Source organism: Homo sapiens, chromosome 1, assembly GCF_000001405.40.
Source record: "Homo sapiens chromosome 1, GRCh38.p14 Primary Assembly".
Lineage (NCBI taxonomy): Eukaryota > Metazoa > Chordata > Mammalia > Primates > Hominidae > Homo > Homo sapiens.
In genome coordinates this window covers 197650679-197667474 of record NC_000001.11, presented here as the reverse complement: position 1 = coordinate 197667474, position 16796 = coordinate 197650679, and the positions used below count along the sequence as shown (strand labels likewise).

Genomic DNA, 16796 nt, shown 5'->3' with positions numbered 1-16796 from the left:
CTGGCAACAGAGAGACTCTGTCTCGGAAAAAAAAGATAATAATAAATAAAAATAAAAAGAATGGGAATGGGACAGTTTCATTCCGTGTCCTTGAAAATTGGGATTTAAAGAGAAAAAAATATTGCTGATGGGGTGGCTTTACAATCTTTGAGCCAGATATTGATGTTTCTCTGTAATTTCAACACAAAATGTTCAACCAGATGGCAATGATTTGTAAGATGCTTGGAGAAATTCTATGACACCTAAAATTAATTTCTTTTTTCTCCTTCTTCAACAGTGGTTACTTAATTTTACTGTACCCTTAAGATGTGGTTGAAAAAGTTTGTCTTTTTTTTTTTTTTTGAGATGGAGTCTCGCTCTGCGGCCAGGCTGGAATGCAGTGACGCAATCTTTGCTCACTGTAGCCTCCGCCTCTCGGGTTCAACCGATTCTCCTGTCTCAGCCTCCAGAGTAGCTGGGAATACAGACCTGCGCCACCACGCCCAGCTAATTTTTGTATTTTTGGTAGAGACGGGGTTTCACCATGTTGGCCAGGATGGTCTCAATCGCCTGAACTCCCAAAGTGTTGGGATTACAGGCGTGAGCCACTGCCCCCAGCCTAGTTTGCCTTATTTCACTATGTAACCAAGACTTAGAATAACTAGTAATTTTAGGGGGAAAAGGAAGGTAGGATTATCTAATGAGCTATTCATACAATGGTTTAGGGTAGTCAGGTCTCTTAATTTACAGGCCAGCTTCCTTTATAACAGACTGTGCTGCTTCCAGAAGTATATGAGAGAAGATCAACTATGCTCATTTTCTGAGTTATTTATGAGTAGCTGGCAAAAGCCTTTTTGTTTGCAATCAGTTTTGTAGGAGTGACCTCACTTTTAGAATTCATGTGCTTAATAGGGCCAAAATTTATTGAGAAGTTTGATAAAATCCTTGCATAAGCAAGACATAGACATATGCCTTTAACCATATTTCTGATAACAAAAATAATTTATTTGCTATAGAAAACTTGGAGGATCCAGAGAAGTTTAAAAGATAAAATAAAAATCACTTATATTTGTGAACACATAATTGTCACTTATGTTTTGGTATTTAGTTCTAGTTTTATTTCAAAAGACTTGCTAAGATACATTTACAGATTTTTCTGTGTCAAAATAAATGATTAACTGTAGTCTTTATTCACAGTTTGCAAAATGAATGAATGCATCTAAAGCAGTTCATAAATTGAAAAAGCTACAGTGGCTTTCATATTGTCCATAAGTGCCTAGAATGTTTACACATGCTTAATCTGACAATTGTTCATTGCTGTTGTTTCTTTTCTTGTAAGTTGAGATTTCACACAAAAATATTTCCCTTCTGAATATAGGTTATATTTAATCACTTTCTTATATCTTTACCAGTAGTGTATTATGACTTTTGGATGTTAAAATATGTTAATACCTTCTCCTTAAAGGTGCCTTTTGTGCAAAGTTAGTGCCTTTATACTGAAGCATTCTCCATTTGTAGGTATTCTACTGTGAGATAATAATGGCTTGATTATCCAGAGTTCATTGTCAGAAGCAAAGGAATTAAGATTCTTGGACAGAAATTAATTGATGTTTCTCCTATTGTCTTTCCAATATCCTAAACACTAATTTTTTTCTATTGTGATAAAATATATTTTCATAAAAATCTTCTCATTTGTGAGCTATCTTCTACTGTTTGAAGTTGTCTTTTAATCCAAAAATTGTAAAAGAAAAATATTTATGAATGTCTCTTGAGCTTTTGTTGAAGCATAGACATAATTAAAATGCCATACATTTAAGAAGCTTTAAGATATTTCAAGTCAAAGTAAAGTAAAACAGTACAAATTGATAGAATATTTTCATTAGAAATAGCAGAAAATAATTTTGTTTGGATTTCTTGACTGGCAGAGACTCTTTTGGTTAAAGATGTTGATACTAATGATACTATGTGGCAATTAATTAACAGCAACATCATTTAGTGTTTGTTTACCATAGCCAAGTGGTCTGCTTAGTGACATGTATGCATTATTTTTTAAAAAACCCAAAAAACTATTCTAGTCCTTAGAGTTCTAAGCTAGAACATTTGTATATAATGCTTTAAAGCTGCTTTTATCTACTCCTGGATGATGCTATTATAGGACTTGAAATTACTGTAATCTGCATTTACCTCGGAGTTCCGAGAAAATTGCATGCTATGCTATATAAACCACGTGTCCATTTTCTCCTGGATTTATGCCATTACAAGATTTGAAAGTTAGTACATTTCTTTGATTTCTATTTATTTTGTTCACCTTTCAGAAAAAAAATTAGAATTTAGGCCTATTTAATACAAAAGTTGATATTTAATTTTGAGCCACTGTTCTGTTCTTTTGTTCTTTCTATGACATGTCTATCCTACTTTTAACAAGATTTCAAAAATATCCTGAGATATTACTAATTTAAATCTGGCAATTGTTTGTATTTAGAATTGTTTCATATGCTAGCAAAAATGCAAGAAATAACTTTTTAACCTAATTTGATTAACATAATTTTATAACTATAAAATTGTCGCCAAGGGTTCAAAATGAAATACTCCAATAAGGAAGACAGATTTATGTTTAGGGCCTTTGTAGTTCCCCCTCCCCCCTTTAACTCATTCCAAACCTAAAGCTTTCACACTCTTCCTTTGGGCAAATCCCTTAGAAGCAGAATGTTTCAATTTTACACATTTTGTGTCAATTTTCCAGACAGAAAAACAGCCTCTAGACATTAGATGTTTTCCTACGGAAAGGCAGTTTCCTTAGTTTTATTTGATTACTATAAGTTAGGTTCCTGCTGATTGCTTAGACTTTAGTGGTTACCTGACTATTTGACAAAAAACATTTCCTTTCCTTTATTTAACCTTTGACTTTTGAATGTAAAAGTTTTATCAGCTCTATAGTGGAAGTAGAAGTGTGGGGGAAGTCTTCTTACTACCACAAAATGGACTCATGACTTTATGTATATCTCTCTCTTTTGCCTTATGTCTTTACAGAAAATTAAGGAAATGATCTTACAATTAAATTTTAACTAATCTCCTGTACTTTGTTTTAAAATAATTGCTCATAATGTTTTACATTTATATATGTTGGCAAGAGTGCGAGAGTCACAGTTATTCTTTGTTCAATTTTAAAAATTCAAGTGAAGTGTCTTATTCACTTGTTACAATATGTCGAGTAATTTTTTTTAACTTCCTAGGATTTTTGTGGTCTGTTGTAAGAATACAGACTTTGACTGTCTTTGGGACTGTAAAATTTAGTGAAAAACATTTTAACATTTTACCTTATTGATAATCAGTTTAAAATTAGTTGCTTTGAGCATGTATCGTTTGAAAATTCCCTAAGAAACCACAAAATAAAGACTTGAAAATAACATTTCTTACTCTAGCAACATAAGCTTATATAATTTACAGTATTTTTTATCTCTCTCTCTGTGTGTGTGTGTGTGTGTATGTGTGTGTTTCAAAAGTTTTCTTTTTAAAAATGATGTTGTTTTTGCCATATATTTAGACTTAAAGTGTACTTAGAGTATAGTTAAAATTGGAATTACTGGACTACTTTGTATACCCTGGATCATTTTCTTGTCAGATAAGAAAGTGAGTAGTCGGTAGGATTTCCTGTTGAGCAGTTGCTTCTTATCAGGAGTTGTGAATTCAATTACCTATGTAGACCAGGTAAGGGGCTCAAATGAGAGAAACCTGTTAGGTGCCTAACAATAGGAAGTTGGGGTAAGTACGGTGATCTGAATAGTACATGCCACACTCAAAGACAGAAGCCACAACTCAGCCCTAGGAATTTGTTGCACAGTGAAAAATGTGTGGCCAGTATTACCAGTTCTTTTGACTTTTAAGAGAAACAAGAAGTCTGGATTTTTACAGTGAATTATATCAGATTTGGAAGTTGGCAACTTATTTAATTAAACAACAGTACAGTGTTGACCAAACAAAATATGCCCTTAGGATAGAAGCAGCCTGCAAATAGCCAGTTAGCACTGTTTGCTGTAGATGCTTGTTTATTTACAACAGAAAATGTCCTTGCTTTCTTGACGTTTCTAGGAGCAATGGCTACGTTATAGAGTAGTTCCACTTTTATATGTGATGTTTTTATTTAAAAAATGAATGATATGTACTCTTTAAAAGGAGAAAGTTATCACTGAGAGCCAGTACATGTTTACAAAGAGAGCATTGTTTATAACTAGGCTTGGTTTATTATGGTGATAGTACATACTGATGTAACAGGGAGTGCTGTAGTTGAAATTTGAGTCTGTTCTAATATTTCACAAACAAATTATGTGCAGAGAAAAGTGTTGGTTAGATGATACAATTATGAGTCTTTTGATTAGGTTAAAATTTCATACTTAGAATGTTGATAAATAATTGGTGTTATTTTGGGAGGCATCTTGAAGACTTTTGCAGGCCATATCCTTTTCAAAATTTTTATCCACAGTGATGAACACAGAAGCAATACCAAACTTAAAATTGGAAGGGTTTACCAAAATGTTACTTTAAAGAATCACATTGAATAGACCTTTATTTGTTGGGAAATTTGCCCCTATGAACAAACTATAATTTAAAAGTCATAAAGGTAATGCTCTGAATGTTAAATAAACAAATGAATTTTAGAAGATAGAATTTGCTTCAGTGGATAGGACATATAGGCAGGCTGTTTTAAGATTACAACAGAATGATTTTTGTCTCAGTTCATTTAGCTGCCTGAAATGCCTGGTCATTGAACATGTTTATTAAAAGGCTCACTGTACATTAGCAGATATACTTAAAGTAAATGACAAGTTAATGGGTGCAGCACACCAACATGGCACATGTATACACACACATGTAACAAACCTGCACATTGTGCACGTGTACCCTAGAACTTAAAGTATATATTTTTTAAAAAAGGCTCGCTATATAGAAATACACGCCAAGATAGGGTGATAGACTGTCTGTGGTAGACCCCTGAGCATATATTACTCAGGTTGATTAGGGTTCTAATCCCAAGATTGCCATTCCATAGCTTTGTGACCCTAGATAAGTTGCTTTATCTTAGTCAAGTATGTATCAAAGCATTAGTGTAAGAATTAAATGAGATAATACATATAAGTATCCAATGTACTGTCATTCATATAGTTACTCCTTAAGTAATTTTACTTCCTGCACTTCCAATTGTTTTAACACATAAATTCTATGATTCTTAGATTCTGCTCTCAACCCCTAGATGGACGTATAACTAACTAGTGAGTTATACTCCCCAAATAGAAATAATAAAGTATTTTGGGGCCTTAGAGATGACTATGAGAAATATCCCATAAGGGTAAAGCTTATTTCTAAACAGTGTTAGTTTAATTTATAGATGAAGTCATAGTTTGATTTATAGATGAAGTCATAGCCTGGTACCAGGATGAAATTCAATAAAGCTTATTATCTTGGACATGTAAAAAACAGTAATAATTACGTAGATACCAAAATGCCTAGCACAAATAAAAACTGTTTAAATTTTTAAAAGTAACTTAAATATGGATATATTAATTATTTATTCAAAGACAAGGATATAGTCTTACAGATAAATTATATTTATCTGTATAAATTAGCTTCTTAATGAAAAATCTGATTCTGATGTGCCTTTGCAATTTGAAAGGAAATTAAAAGGGGAAGATAACCAGTGAAAAACAATAATATAAAGTTCAGAAAACCAGAACATTGAAAGAAATGTTAAGGGTTTTTGGTCTAGAATGAAAAACATTATCTCACTTTCTAATAACATAATTATTGTTATGTATATAGTTTTTATAGTAGACCATGAAAGAAAAATTAAGGTTACCAAAGGCCTCACTTTATTTAAATAAGGTGAAAATGACAATGTAAGCATTAACAGGTAGACATGCAGCCACCTACAATCAATACATTTTGCTTTATCTAAAGCTCCTTGAGAGTTGGATAGAAACAGACCAGCATGTTCTTTGAATAGATTAGGTCTCATCTGAATTTTTAGGTCTGAACTACATGACACATTGAAATTGTCTGGAAATAGCAATTTCTTCAGGCTATTAAAAGTTGAAATGTGAGTTTGAAATGACTACAAATGAAAGCAATTAGGCTCTAACTAAGGATTATGTGTCTTGGTGGAAGGAAATTTGCCATGAAAACTATTTCTTTGAGTTATAGTGAATGCAGAAACTATGATGTGCTGATTTGCATTATATTTAGTTAGTATTATAAAAGTATTAGTAATTTTTAAGGGTTTTATTTGTAAGTGGAAGATACACATAGTAAAATAGCGATCTAAGCACTGGGGCTTGAAGAGTTAAGTAATTTAAGTAGGAAAATTGAGATTACCAATAGTAATTTCTAATTTTTAGATTCCCCAAAAACTGTCACAGATGTGTCACATACCTGTCCAGATTTTTCCAGGCTTCCAGGCAAAGTTGTCAATATGCTTATTGTAAACACCCCGTTCCAGCATCTCCCTCCTAGAGCCTTCATTCCTGATTCAGTCTGGGCTGGTTGCTCTCGAGGCCTTTGCACAACTGTTCTTCCATGGTCTTAGATTTCTTGCCTCCTACATCCGTGTATTCCTTCTTTTTCATCTCCTTTATTTTATTTTAGCCATCCTTTAGGATGTCTTAGGAGGTGAAGTTTTGAGTCCTTGCCTGACTGAAAATGCTGTTAATCTGTTCTCACACTTTATTGATAGTTTGTCTGGACATAGAAGTCTTGAGTGCAAAGAATTTAACCTTTGTATTTTGAAGGCATTATCTTCTAACTTTCCTTATTGCTGTTGAGAGGTTTGATGACATTTTTGAACTTGATCCCTTTGTTACTTGTTTTGTCTCTTTGGAAACTCTTAGGCACTCTTCTATCCCTTGTTTTGGAATTTCACAGTGATACTCTGGTTTGGAACATTCTTTGTGCTGTTCATTCACTCATTCTTTCAGTCTGGAGACTCATGTCTGAAGTTCTGGGAAAATTTCCAGTCATTCTTTAAAATGAAACTTTCATTCATTTCTTTCCTCTATTTTTTCTTTATGGAATGACTATAGCTATATGATAGTTGAGATTGATGGCCTGATAGTGTAATATTTTTCTCTTATTATTTATCTTTTTTGTTATGAACATAAATTATTATTATTTATTATACTTTAAGTTCTGGGATACATGTGCAGAACATGCAGGTTTGTTACATAGGTATACACATGCCATGGTGGTTTGCTGCTACAAAGATAATAAAATACCTAGGAATAGAACTTACAAGCGTTGTTTATCTTTTTATTCTAGTTTCTGGGAGATTTTCTGGAGTTATCATCTAAACTTTCTATTGACTTTAATTTTTTTCTGACTTTAGAATTTCTTAAAGCTCTTTCTTCCTGTCTAAAACTTTCTATCTTTACTTTTTAGAAAAGTTTAGTTTTTTTTTAATAGCTTCCTGCTCTTAATTCAGCTCCTAAGGATATTAAATATAAGTTTTGGAGTTCTCTTCAGCTGTTTGTATTGTCTATATTTACTTGTAGTTCCTTTTATGTTCAATATAAACATTTTGTATTTGTGTTTCCTCAAATATCTGGTGGTTGGCTATTAATTTGTATTCAAAAGGAAGGTATTAAACTGATTTGGAAACATTGCATGTATAGTAGTGGGTTTCATTCCAAGAAAATAGGACTTCGAGGGGCTTTTTTCTTTGAGATACTGTTAAATCAGTGTTTCAGAACTCTTTAGGGAGCACTTCTGCTGGTCCTTTTCCTTTCTAATGGCATTTAGGTTTTGGTTTACTCTTTTCTGCTGTTAGTTATCTTTCTGCTTACCATATTTACAAAGTCATCCACCTGCATTGCTATTGTTTTTTCCTCCATTTTGCTTGTATTCATTAATATATACCCTTTTTATTCATTTATTGTCATTTTGGAGTTATTTCCAGAGGACACAGAGATAATTACATACAGTCAATATGTTAGATTTAACCAGAGTTGGGTAGATATTTTAAAGTATCATATCAGTTTTCATATCATTACGTAGTATTTGTAATTATCATTTTAAATAACGCTATAACATTCTGCTGAGTAAAGATACTGTAGTTTACCTAAATTCCTCTTTTATTACTACTTTCAGTTTCTGATTCAAATGGCATCATTCATAGTCACTAACAAATCAGACATTATATGAAAAAAAATCCTGTTAGAATTCTTTTTTTACGTTCTACTTACTGATTTTTAAATTTTACATGTTATGTGTATGTACTATTAATCTGTGTACAATTATGTAGTAAAAGCATCACAATATTTTCTCTTAAAAGTAGCATGTTGTATTAATGCTTTGAAGAAAAGTCTTGAGTATTTGTCAATTGATAATTAACAACAGTGTATTTTGTGATTTCCTCTTATTCTACATGAAAAGTGTACAGTTTAACATTAAAATCTTTAGACATTAAAAAATATACTATTTTAATTTTTAATAAGGAATATAGATTTTGTTTTATATAAATGATTTTTGGATTTAATATTTTGCTATCATAAAAATTATAGTTTTATCTAGTACAATGAATTAAATTTTGAATTATATTTGGTTTTGATATATAAAAGTCATTTAAAATTTTTTATAATTTTTAGAATAGTCTTTTTGATATGTGTATTGAGTTATTTTGAAATTTGCCATCATTCTTAAACATCATTTCTGAAGAATTGAAAAACACATAGTTTTGTTGTATTATATACTCCAGTAACATATTAAAAGGAGATATTTTTGATATCTTTTGTTTTAAAAGCTTTTTAAAACTAGTTTTTATATGATTTTTTTACAGTGGTTAATTTTTATCTTATGCATGCTTTTATTGAATACCATGAAAATAATTTTAAATATTGCTGATGTAAAATAGAAGTATGTAATGAACAGCTTTTTAAATAGAACTCTAGATTCTGATTTGTTTTATGAAAACTAGTAATAAATAATATGTAAAACTTTGCTGAAAAAGTAAAGAAAATGGGTATAGTTCTTTTTTGACCTCCAGGATTAACCTGTTTGAATTAATATGAATTAAATGTTTATATTGTCTGTTTTCTGATTCTGAATTTTATGTATATACATTTTAAAATAATTATTTTACAGTTACCTTCCCTGGTTTGAAGTGTATTACAAGCTTCTAAATACTCTTGCAGATTACTTGGCTAAGGAACTGGTAAGCTATTTTTTCCCCATTTTTAAATTGTGGTAAAATACTTATAACACAAAACTTACCATTTTAACCATTTTTAAGTGTATAGTTTTGTGACATTAAGTACATTAATGTTGATCTGCAATCATCAATACCATACATCTTTTTTCCTTGCCAGTCTAAAACTCTGTCTGTATCCATTAAACAGTATCTACTCATTCCTCCCCAACCCTTACCATCCCTGGCAACCACCATTGTATCATCTGTATGAATCTGAATAGTCTATGTATCTCATATAAGTGGACTCACACAGTATTTGTCCTTATTTGCCAAGTGACTGGCTTATTTCATTTAGCATAATGTCTTCAAGATTCATCCATGTTGCAGCATGTGTCAGAATTTTTTTCTTTTTAAGACTGAATATCAATACACCCCAGTTTGTTCATTCATTCTTCTGTCAATGGACACTGGGGGTGCTTCCTCTACTTTTTGGCTATTGTGAATAATATAGCTATGAAAATGTTTGTACAAATAATGTTCCAGCCCTTGGGTTCAATCCTTTTGGGTATATACCTAAAAGTGGAATTACTGGGTAGTAAGATAATTCTGCATTTAATTTTTTGAGGAATCATGAGAGCATTTTCCACAGTGTCCACATTTTCCACAGTGTCCACATTTTTCATTCCCATCAGTAATGTACAAGGGTTCCGTTTCCCTCACAATCTTGCCAATACTCGCTCTTTTCTTTTCTTTTCTTTTTTGGTTAATAGTTTTGTAATGTATGTGCAAAGTGGTGTATTGTTGTGGTTTTAATTTGCATTTCCTTAATGGTTAGTGATATTGGACATTTACTTGCCATTTTTATAGCTTCTTTGGAGAAGGTCTTTAATTGTGCAGACAGAAAATTACAACCTGGGATAAATGCTCTGGGAACACAGCAAGCATCACCTAAGTCAACCTGGAGAGTCAGGAAAAGTCTCTAGAGAAGTACTTGTTGGAACTCTTTTATCTGTGTCTCAATAGCAAATAGGTATTGAGTCAAAAGTTGTAGAAGGTCTGTTCAAGTCCTTTGCCCATTTTTAAATCATGTTGCGTTTTTTGTTGTTGAATCGTAAGAGTCCTTCATATATTCAAATATTCATTTCTTATTAGATAGATGATTTGCGAGTATTCTATCCCAATCTATGGTTTGCCTGCCTTTTTGTTCTTTTGATAGTATTGTTTGATGCACAAAAGTTTTTAATTTTAATGAAGTCCAATTTATCTAGTTTTTGTCTTTTGTTGCCTGTGCTTTTGGTGTCATATCCAAGAAATCTTTTCCAAATCCAGTCTTTCAAAGCTTTCTTCATATGTTTTCTTCTAAGAATTTTATAGTTTTAGCTCTCAATAAAAGTCTTTATGCTTTTCTTAAAAAATAAAATTAAAACTGTAGTTTGCTTTTGAATGAACAAAATTCTATGGGATAATGATTTTAATTTTTTTTTCCCTTAATCTTTGATTTTTTTTTTAAATTTTTTTTGGAGACAGAGTCTTGCTCTGTTGCCCAGAGGTGGAGCACTGTGGTACAATCATCACTCACTGCAGCCTCAGCCTCCTAGGATCAAGCAATCCACTCACCTCAGTCTCCCAATTAGCTGGAACTATGGGTGTGTGCCACCACAAATAGCTAATTTTTTAATTTTTTTTTGTACAGATAGAGTCTCACTATGTTGCTTAGGCTGGTCTCAAATTCTTGGCCTCAAGGGATCTTCCTGCCTCTGCTTCCCATCTACCAAGCCTGGCCATTCTTTGATGTTTTTAACAAGAGCTAATTTACTAAAATATTAGCTATGCTATTTGATACAATTTAATTGAAATAAAATGTGTTTTAAAAATTCTTTATAATTGTCTATTGTCTATTAATTTTTACATTTAGGGTGTACTTTCCATTCTCTGGTTATCTGTTTAAATTCTTATTTGGTACTCTGTCACTCTTGACATTGTGTTTTTCTGGATTTTCCTGACATTGTCTTTTCTTTGTTTTACTTATGTCCTCACCTTCTCTTTTGGGCCTTTTTTGTCCATCTACACCTAAAATTTTGGTGTTATTTATGTTATATTCTTGGTTCTCTTTTCTCTAGATACTATTTATGGGTATTTCAGACACACTCTTTGTCTGAAGAGATGAAAAGAGTCTTGAAGACTCTTTTCTCTTCAAGATGAACTTTCTGAAAACTGATTTTATTCCACTGCTTACAATCGCTTCATAGTCTCCTCTTTTTCTTAGAATAAAATTTAAACTTGTATGCAGCATGACATATAATAACTTTATGATCTGGCTTCTGACCTTCTCTTCAAATTAATCTGCTCCCACTCATCTGCTGCACATAATGTACTATCTAATTATTTTGAGCCACTTAAAGTTCCCAGAACATAACTCTATACAGTTGTGATAGATTACAGACCACTCACTAATTGTTACTGGTAGAACACTTATCTTTTAAGAGTTAATGGGCCGGGCGCGGTGGCTCACACCTGTAATCCCAGCACTTTGGGAGGCCGAGGCGGGCGGATCACGAGGTCAGGAGATCGAGACCATCCTGGCTCACACAGTGAAACCCCGTCTCTACTAAAAATACAAAAAAATTAGCCGGGTGTGGTGGCGGGCGCCTGTAGTCCCAGCTACTCAGGAGGCTGAGGCAGGAGAATGGCATGAACCCGGGAGGCGGAGCTTGCAGTGAGCGCAGATCGCGCCAGCGCACTCCAGCCTGGGCGACAGAGCGAGACTCCGTCTCAAAAAAAAAAAAAAAAAGTTAATGTAGCTATCTTTTGAAACAAACCTAATTTCAGCACAAGTACTTCTCTAGAGACTTTTCCTGACTCTCCAGGTTAAGTTAGGTGATGCTTTCTGTAGGTTTCAAGAGCATTTACACTGGGTTGTAACTCTGTGTCTACACAACTAAAGTAATAATTGAGAATTGGAACTGTTCTATCTCTGTGTCTCCCATAGCAAATAGATATTGAGTCAAAAGGTGTAGAATAAGTAAAAATACGTTAGAAAGTTTCTAATATTCAGTTTTTGGCTCTCCATTTTATAATTGTAGAAACTAATATCCAGCTATTGTGACTTTTTTGTTCACTGGATTCTGTGTGCCCATGCTTTAACGTCAATGATAGACAAAATTGTTGATGGAATTTTTAAAATAGGAATATAGTAAGACAGAATGTTATTTTCCTCACTCTAAATTTTTCCATAGGAAAAGCTTGTTTTCAGCTTTTCAGTATACAATCATTTATTTCTTTATATTGTTTTAAAACTTCTGTTGACTGAGTCTGGAGCAAAATATCCTCCTGGGCATAGTATTTTGAATTTTTATTTAATTTTTAAAAATTATATAGCTTTGGTAGATACAGTTCAGCTAAAATGGTATAGACATTTCTGTCTGCCCAGTATGGTGAAACAGGCACTATGTTAAACATGGATGCAGACTATATTTGAAAATAAGCTTGTAAGAATAAAAATTAATGATTTTGATAAATCAGCTGAAATCCTTCATTTGCCTTAAGTGGTGGTGGTCGCAAGTAAAGGTGAGTATAGTCACCTTAGAATTAAAATCTTTATAAATGTTCCCAGGAAGCTTAATGCAGTATTGGTAATACAAAGGTAACTGGACTTTTGGCAATGTGGTTTGATTGAACCCTGAAATCCTGGATTTAAATTCTTTTTTTTTTTTTGAGACGGAGTCACGCTCTGTCGCCCAGGCTGAAGGGCAGTGGTGCGATCTCGGCTCGCTGCAACCTCCACCTCCCAGGTTCAAGAGATTCTTCTGCCTCACTCTCCCAAGTAGATGGGACTACAGGCATGCACCACCACGCCTGGATAATTTTTATATTTTTAGTAGAGACGCGGTTTCACTGTATTGGCCAGGCTGATCTCAAACTCCTGACCTCTTGATCCACCCACCTCAGCCCCCCAAAGTGCTGGGGATTACAGGCGGGAGCCACCACTCCCGGCCTAAGTTATATTTTCTAATATCCTTGTGACTTTGATTAAAGTACAGTGTTTATCAGTCAGATAATCAGTTCTGTCACTTGGAAAGTAAGGGAGGTATTATTTATATAAATAGGATTTAAATGTGTTATTAATAAATTAAGGTAGTCCTTTTACTCTTCTAAAATTGTCAACCAATTTTTTATAATGTAATTGCAAGTTTTAATGTTTGTCAAAAGTCTAGTTGTTTATGTGTATGTGTTTGTGCATGTAAATATTTTTCTGTATATATTTGATTGCTTAATTCTATGAAGTATATCTTAACATCATTTTACAGTTGAATAATTTTATGTTGAAGCTGTACAGACATTCACTTGCCTAAGAAAATAAGTGGAAATACTACTATTTATTTTTTTGCAATGAAAAGTCAAAACCAGAATTCTGGTTAAATTATTCGTGATAATTTCTTGTTCTTTGTTTTTGTGAATGTACATGTGGAATTCACATTAATTATATTAGTTGTCCAAATTTTGAATACTTTTCCTTTATTTAGTAACTTTTAGTAACTCTTACTGATAAATTATTATTATCTCCATAGTGTGTATCTTTTTTTTTCCTGAAACCATCAGTAATACTGGAATACATAAAAGAAAATAGCTATGAGAAAATTTATATAATTTTGGCTTTCTGAGAAGAGGAAATAGGGGAGGCTCCATTTGTGTTCCTTATTTGAGGAAGAAATAAGTTTATAGCATTAATTAAACCAGAAATAAATCTGTAATTGTAGTACTTTTTTCTGTTCATTTCTAATTCAGTGCCATAGGTTATTTAAGTAACTTTTACAGTTCAAGTTATCCTTACTTGATCAATGTAAGAAAGTGCAAAGAATTTTTAAAAGCTAGTCTAAAAATTTTTATACCTATAAGAACTTTGTATAAACAGAATATCAATATGAGCCACAATTTTCTATGGTATACTTCATTGTTTAAAAGTCCAAGAGGTAAATTGTTTATTTTGCAGTCCTTGCACAAGGTAATTCTAAAACAACCATATGAGCCTCTTTTACAAAGGGGAATGGTATTATCTACAGTATTCTCTGATACATTTCGTTGTTTAAATGATCAAGAAATACATTGTTTTTGTTCTTTTTATGTCATTCTGAAGAGTACTTCAAATAGGTAGTTTTGAATGAATACTTTTGAAAGTAGTTACAGAGTTCTGATTTATTAAGTTTTGGTATAAGTGGATAGACAAGGCATAAGAAAGATCGTGAGAAGTCTATATCTCGTATCCAAACTTATTAAAATTGCTAACTTCTCTGAACAATTGCCTTTTCCTTTGATTTATTCTTTCCAATATGAAAATAGAGAATAAGGATAATTATGTCTATAAAAATCTTTGTATATTTATTACTGGATTTGTAGTATGTGATGCAGAAAAATTGAGGGTGCACATCAAGGCACATTATTATTATACAAATCCTATGAAGTAGATTTGTTGTATGTTTTATTTAATCCCATTTATTGTGGGTCAAGTAGTGACCAGTAGCAATGTAGAAAAGAAATATTTAGAATAACCTCTACATTGCACTTCAGTGAAATAATCTTACTTAAATTGTTTCTATTCCTTAAAAATTGCTTTGGGATTTTAAAATGAAATGGAAAATAAGAGTACTCTGTGATCTGATAAAAAGTTGTATTACTATTTTTATTCAATCCAGTTCTTATTGGATTTAATGATTTAGATAATTTACTTTTATAGCATTAGTATATTTTATAATAATTAAGTTTTTCAAATACATGTTTATACTAAATAGAAATATTGCCATTATTCTTCTGGATAAAGGGATTTAAATATGTTTTCATATTTTTAGACTCAAATATTTGAATTTCAGGTATTTGAAATGTTTCTGTGGAAAACATTTATATAAAATATGTCTAATATGAAAAGCCATAGTAGATTATTTTATCAAATAGTTTTAATTGCAGTTGCTTGGTATATGTTTTATTTATAAAATGTACTTTTTCTTTTGCCCTAGGAAAATGATTTGAATGAAACTCTCAGATCACTGTATAACCACCCAGTACCAAAGGCAAATACTCCTGTAAATTTGAGTGTGGTAAGTATTCAATCAGTAATTGTTTTTGGGAGTCATAGCTATGTCTCAATTTCGTTAAGAGCACGTGTACCTTCAGGCAATTCTTTACCAAGTCATCTCTGCTTCCAGGAAGACTTCATTGCTAGTACTAACATAACAAGGTGATAATATTGTGTCTTTTTAACATGCTGTAACTATCATAACTTCATATATCAGGTGTGTTGAATTTAAAAAATTTTATTGTAAACTAAAAGTAACCAAATCTATGAGGATATTTCATTTTTAAGAAACATTGATTTGGCTGGGCCCGGTGGCTCATGCTAGTGTAATCCCAGCACTTTGGGAGGCTGAGGCAGGTGGATCACAAGGTCAGGAGATCGAGACCATCTTGGCTAACACGGTGAAACCCCATCTCTACTAAAAATACAAAAAATTAGCCGGGCGTGGTGGCAGGCGCCTGTAGTCCCAGCTACTCAGGAGGCTGAGGCAGGAGAATGGCGTGAACCCGGGAGGCGGAGCTTGCAGTGAGCCGAGATCGTGTTACTGCACTCCAGCCTGGGTGACAGAGTGAGACTCAGTCTCAAAAAAAAAAAAAAAAAAAAAAAAAAAAGAAGCATTGATTTTCAGGTGAAATCCGTGCATAATAAAGGAATATACACACATGCTTAATAACCCTCCTAAAATGAAAACGGTACTTAGTAAGAATAGAAAATGACATATAACATATAAATATGTGATAAAAATTCTGGGTGAAAAGTTTCATCTGTTTTCCCTATACAGTAATATGTCTTCTAGTATAATCACAAAATACTGGAAATATGATTGAATTTTTGTTTGTCAGACAACAAGCCTGTGATGGGATAGATTATTTATTGTACTATTGAAACTTTTAACGAAGTGTACCATCTATATCTAAAAACACTCATGTTTTGGGAGTTTTTGTAAATGCTTAAAGTTCAAAATCATAAAATATGGATTTTTTATTAATTTCTTCATGGTTTTGGCATATGGGCTAGACTATTAAAATTTATTTATATTAATTTTGTTTCTTCTAAAATAATAAACTTTTCCTAATAAAGAATAAAAAATATAATGTCGCAAGAGAAAATGAGAGGAAAGCTAACTCAAAGTATATATAAGTCTTTTGTGTTTTTATGAGACAGGGAAGTTGTTATCTTTATTGTATTTTCTTTGGTAATAACTTTCTTCTTTTTAAAAATTAATTAATTTTTTAATTTTTCCATAAGTTATTGGGGTACAGGTGGTATTTGGTTACATGAGTAAGTTCTTTAGTGGTGATTTGTGATATTTTGGTGCACCCATCACTCTAGCAGTATACACTACACCATATTCGTAGTCTTTTATCCCTTACCCTCCCTCCCACTCTTCTCCCCAAGTCTCCAAAGTCCATTATATCATTCTTATGCTTTTGCGTCCTCATAGCTTAGCTCCCGCATATCAGTGAGAACATACGATATTTGATTTTTCCATTCCTGAGGCACTTCACTTAGAATAATAGTCTTCAGTCTCATCCAGGTCGCTGCAAATGCTGTTAATTCATTCCTTTTTACGGCTGA

At 32.4% G+C, this 16796-nt stretch overlaps 1 protein-coding gene across 16 annotated transcripts in view; it reads left to right on the top strand.

The window, feature by feature from the left end:
* Positions 1-16796, top strand: part of DENND1B (DENN domain containing 1B) — a 277403-nt gene that overhangs the window by 114676 nt on the left and 145931 nt on the right. For all 16 annotated transcript variants that reach the window (NR_125340.2, XM_011509248.3, XM_047447711.1 and 13 more), the window contains 2 exons: positions 9106-9175; positions 15160-15240. Coding sequence is in view for 13 of the 16 variants with exons in the window: in XM_011509248.3 (XP_011507550.1) it covers positions 9106-9175; positions 15160-15240 (151 nt within the window). In the remaining 3 variants the exon portion in view is untranslated. The remainder of the gene's footprint in view (positions 1-9105; positions 9176-15159; positions 15241-16796) is intronic.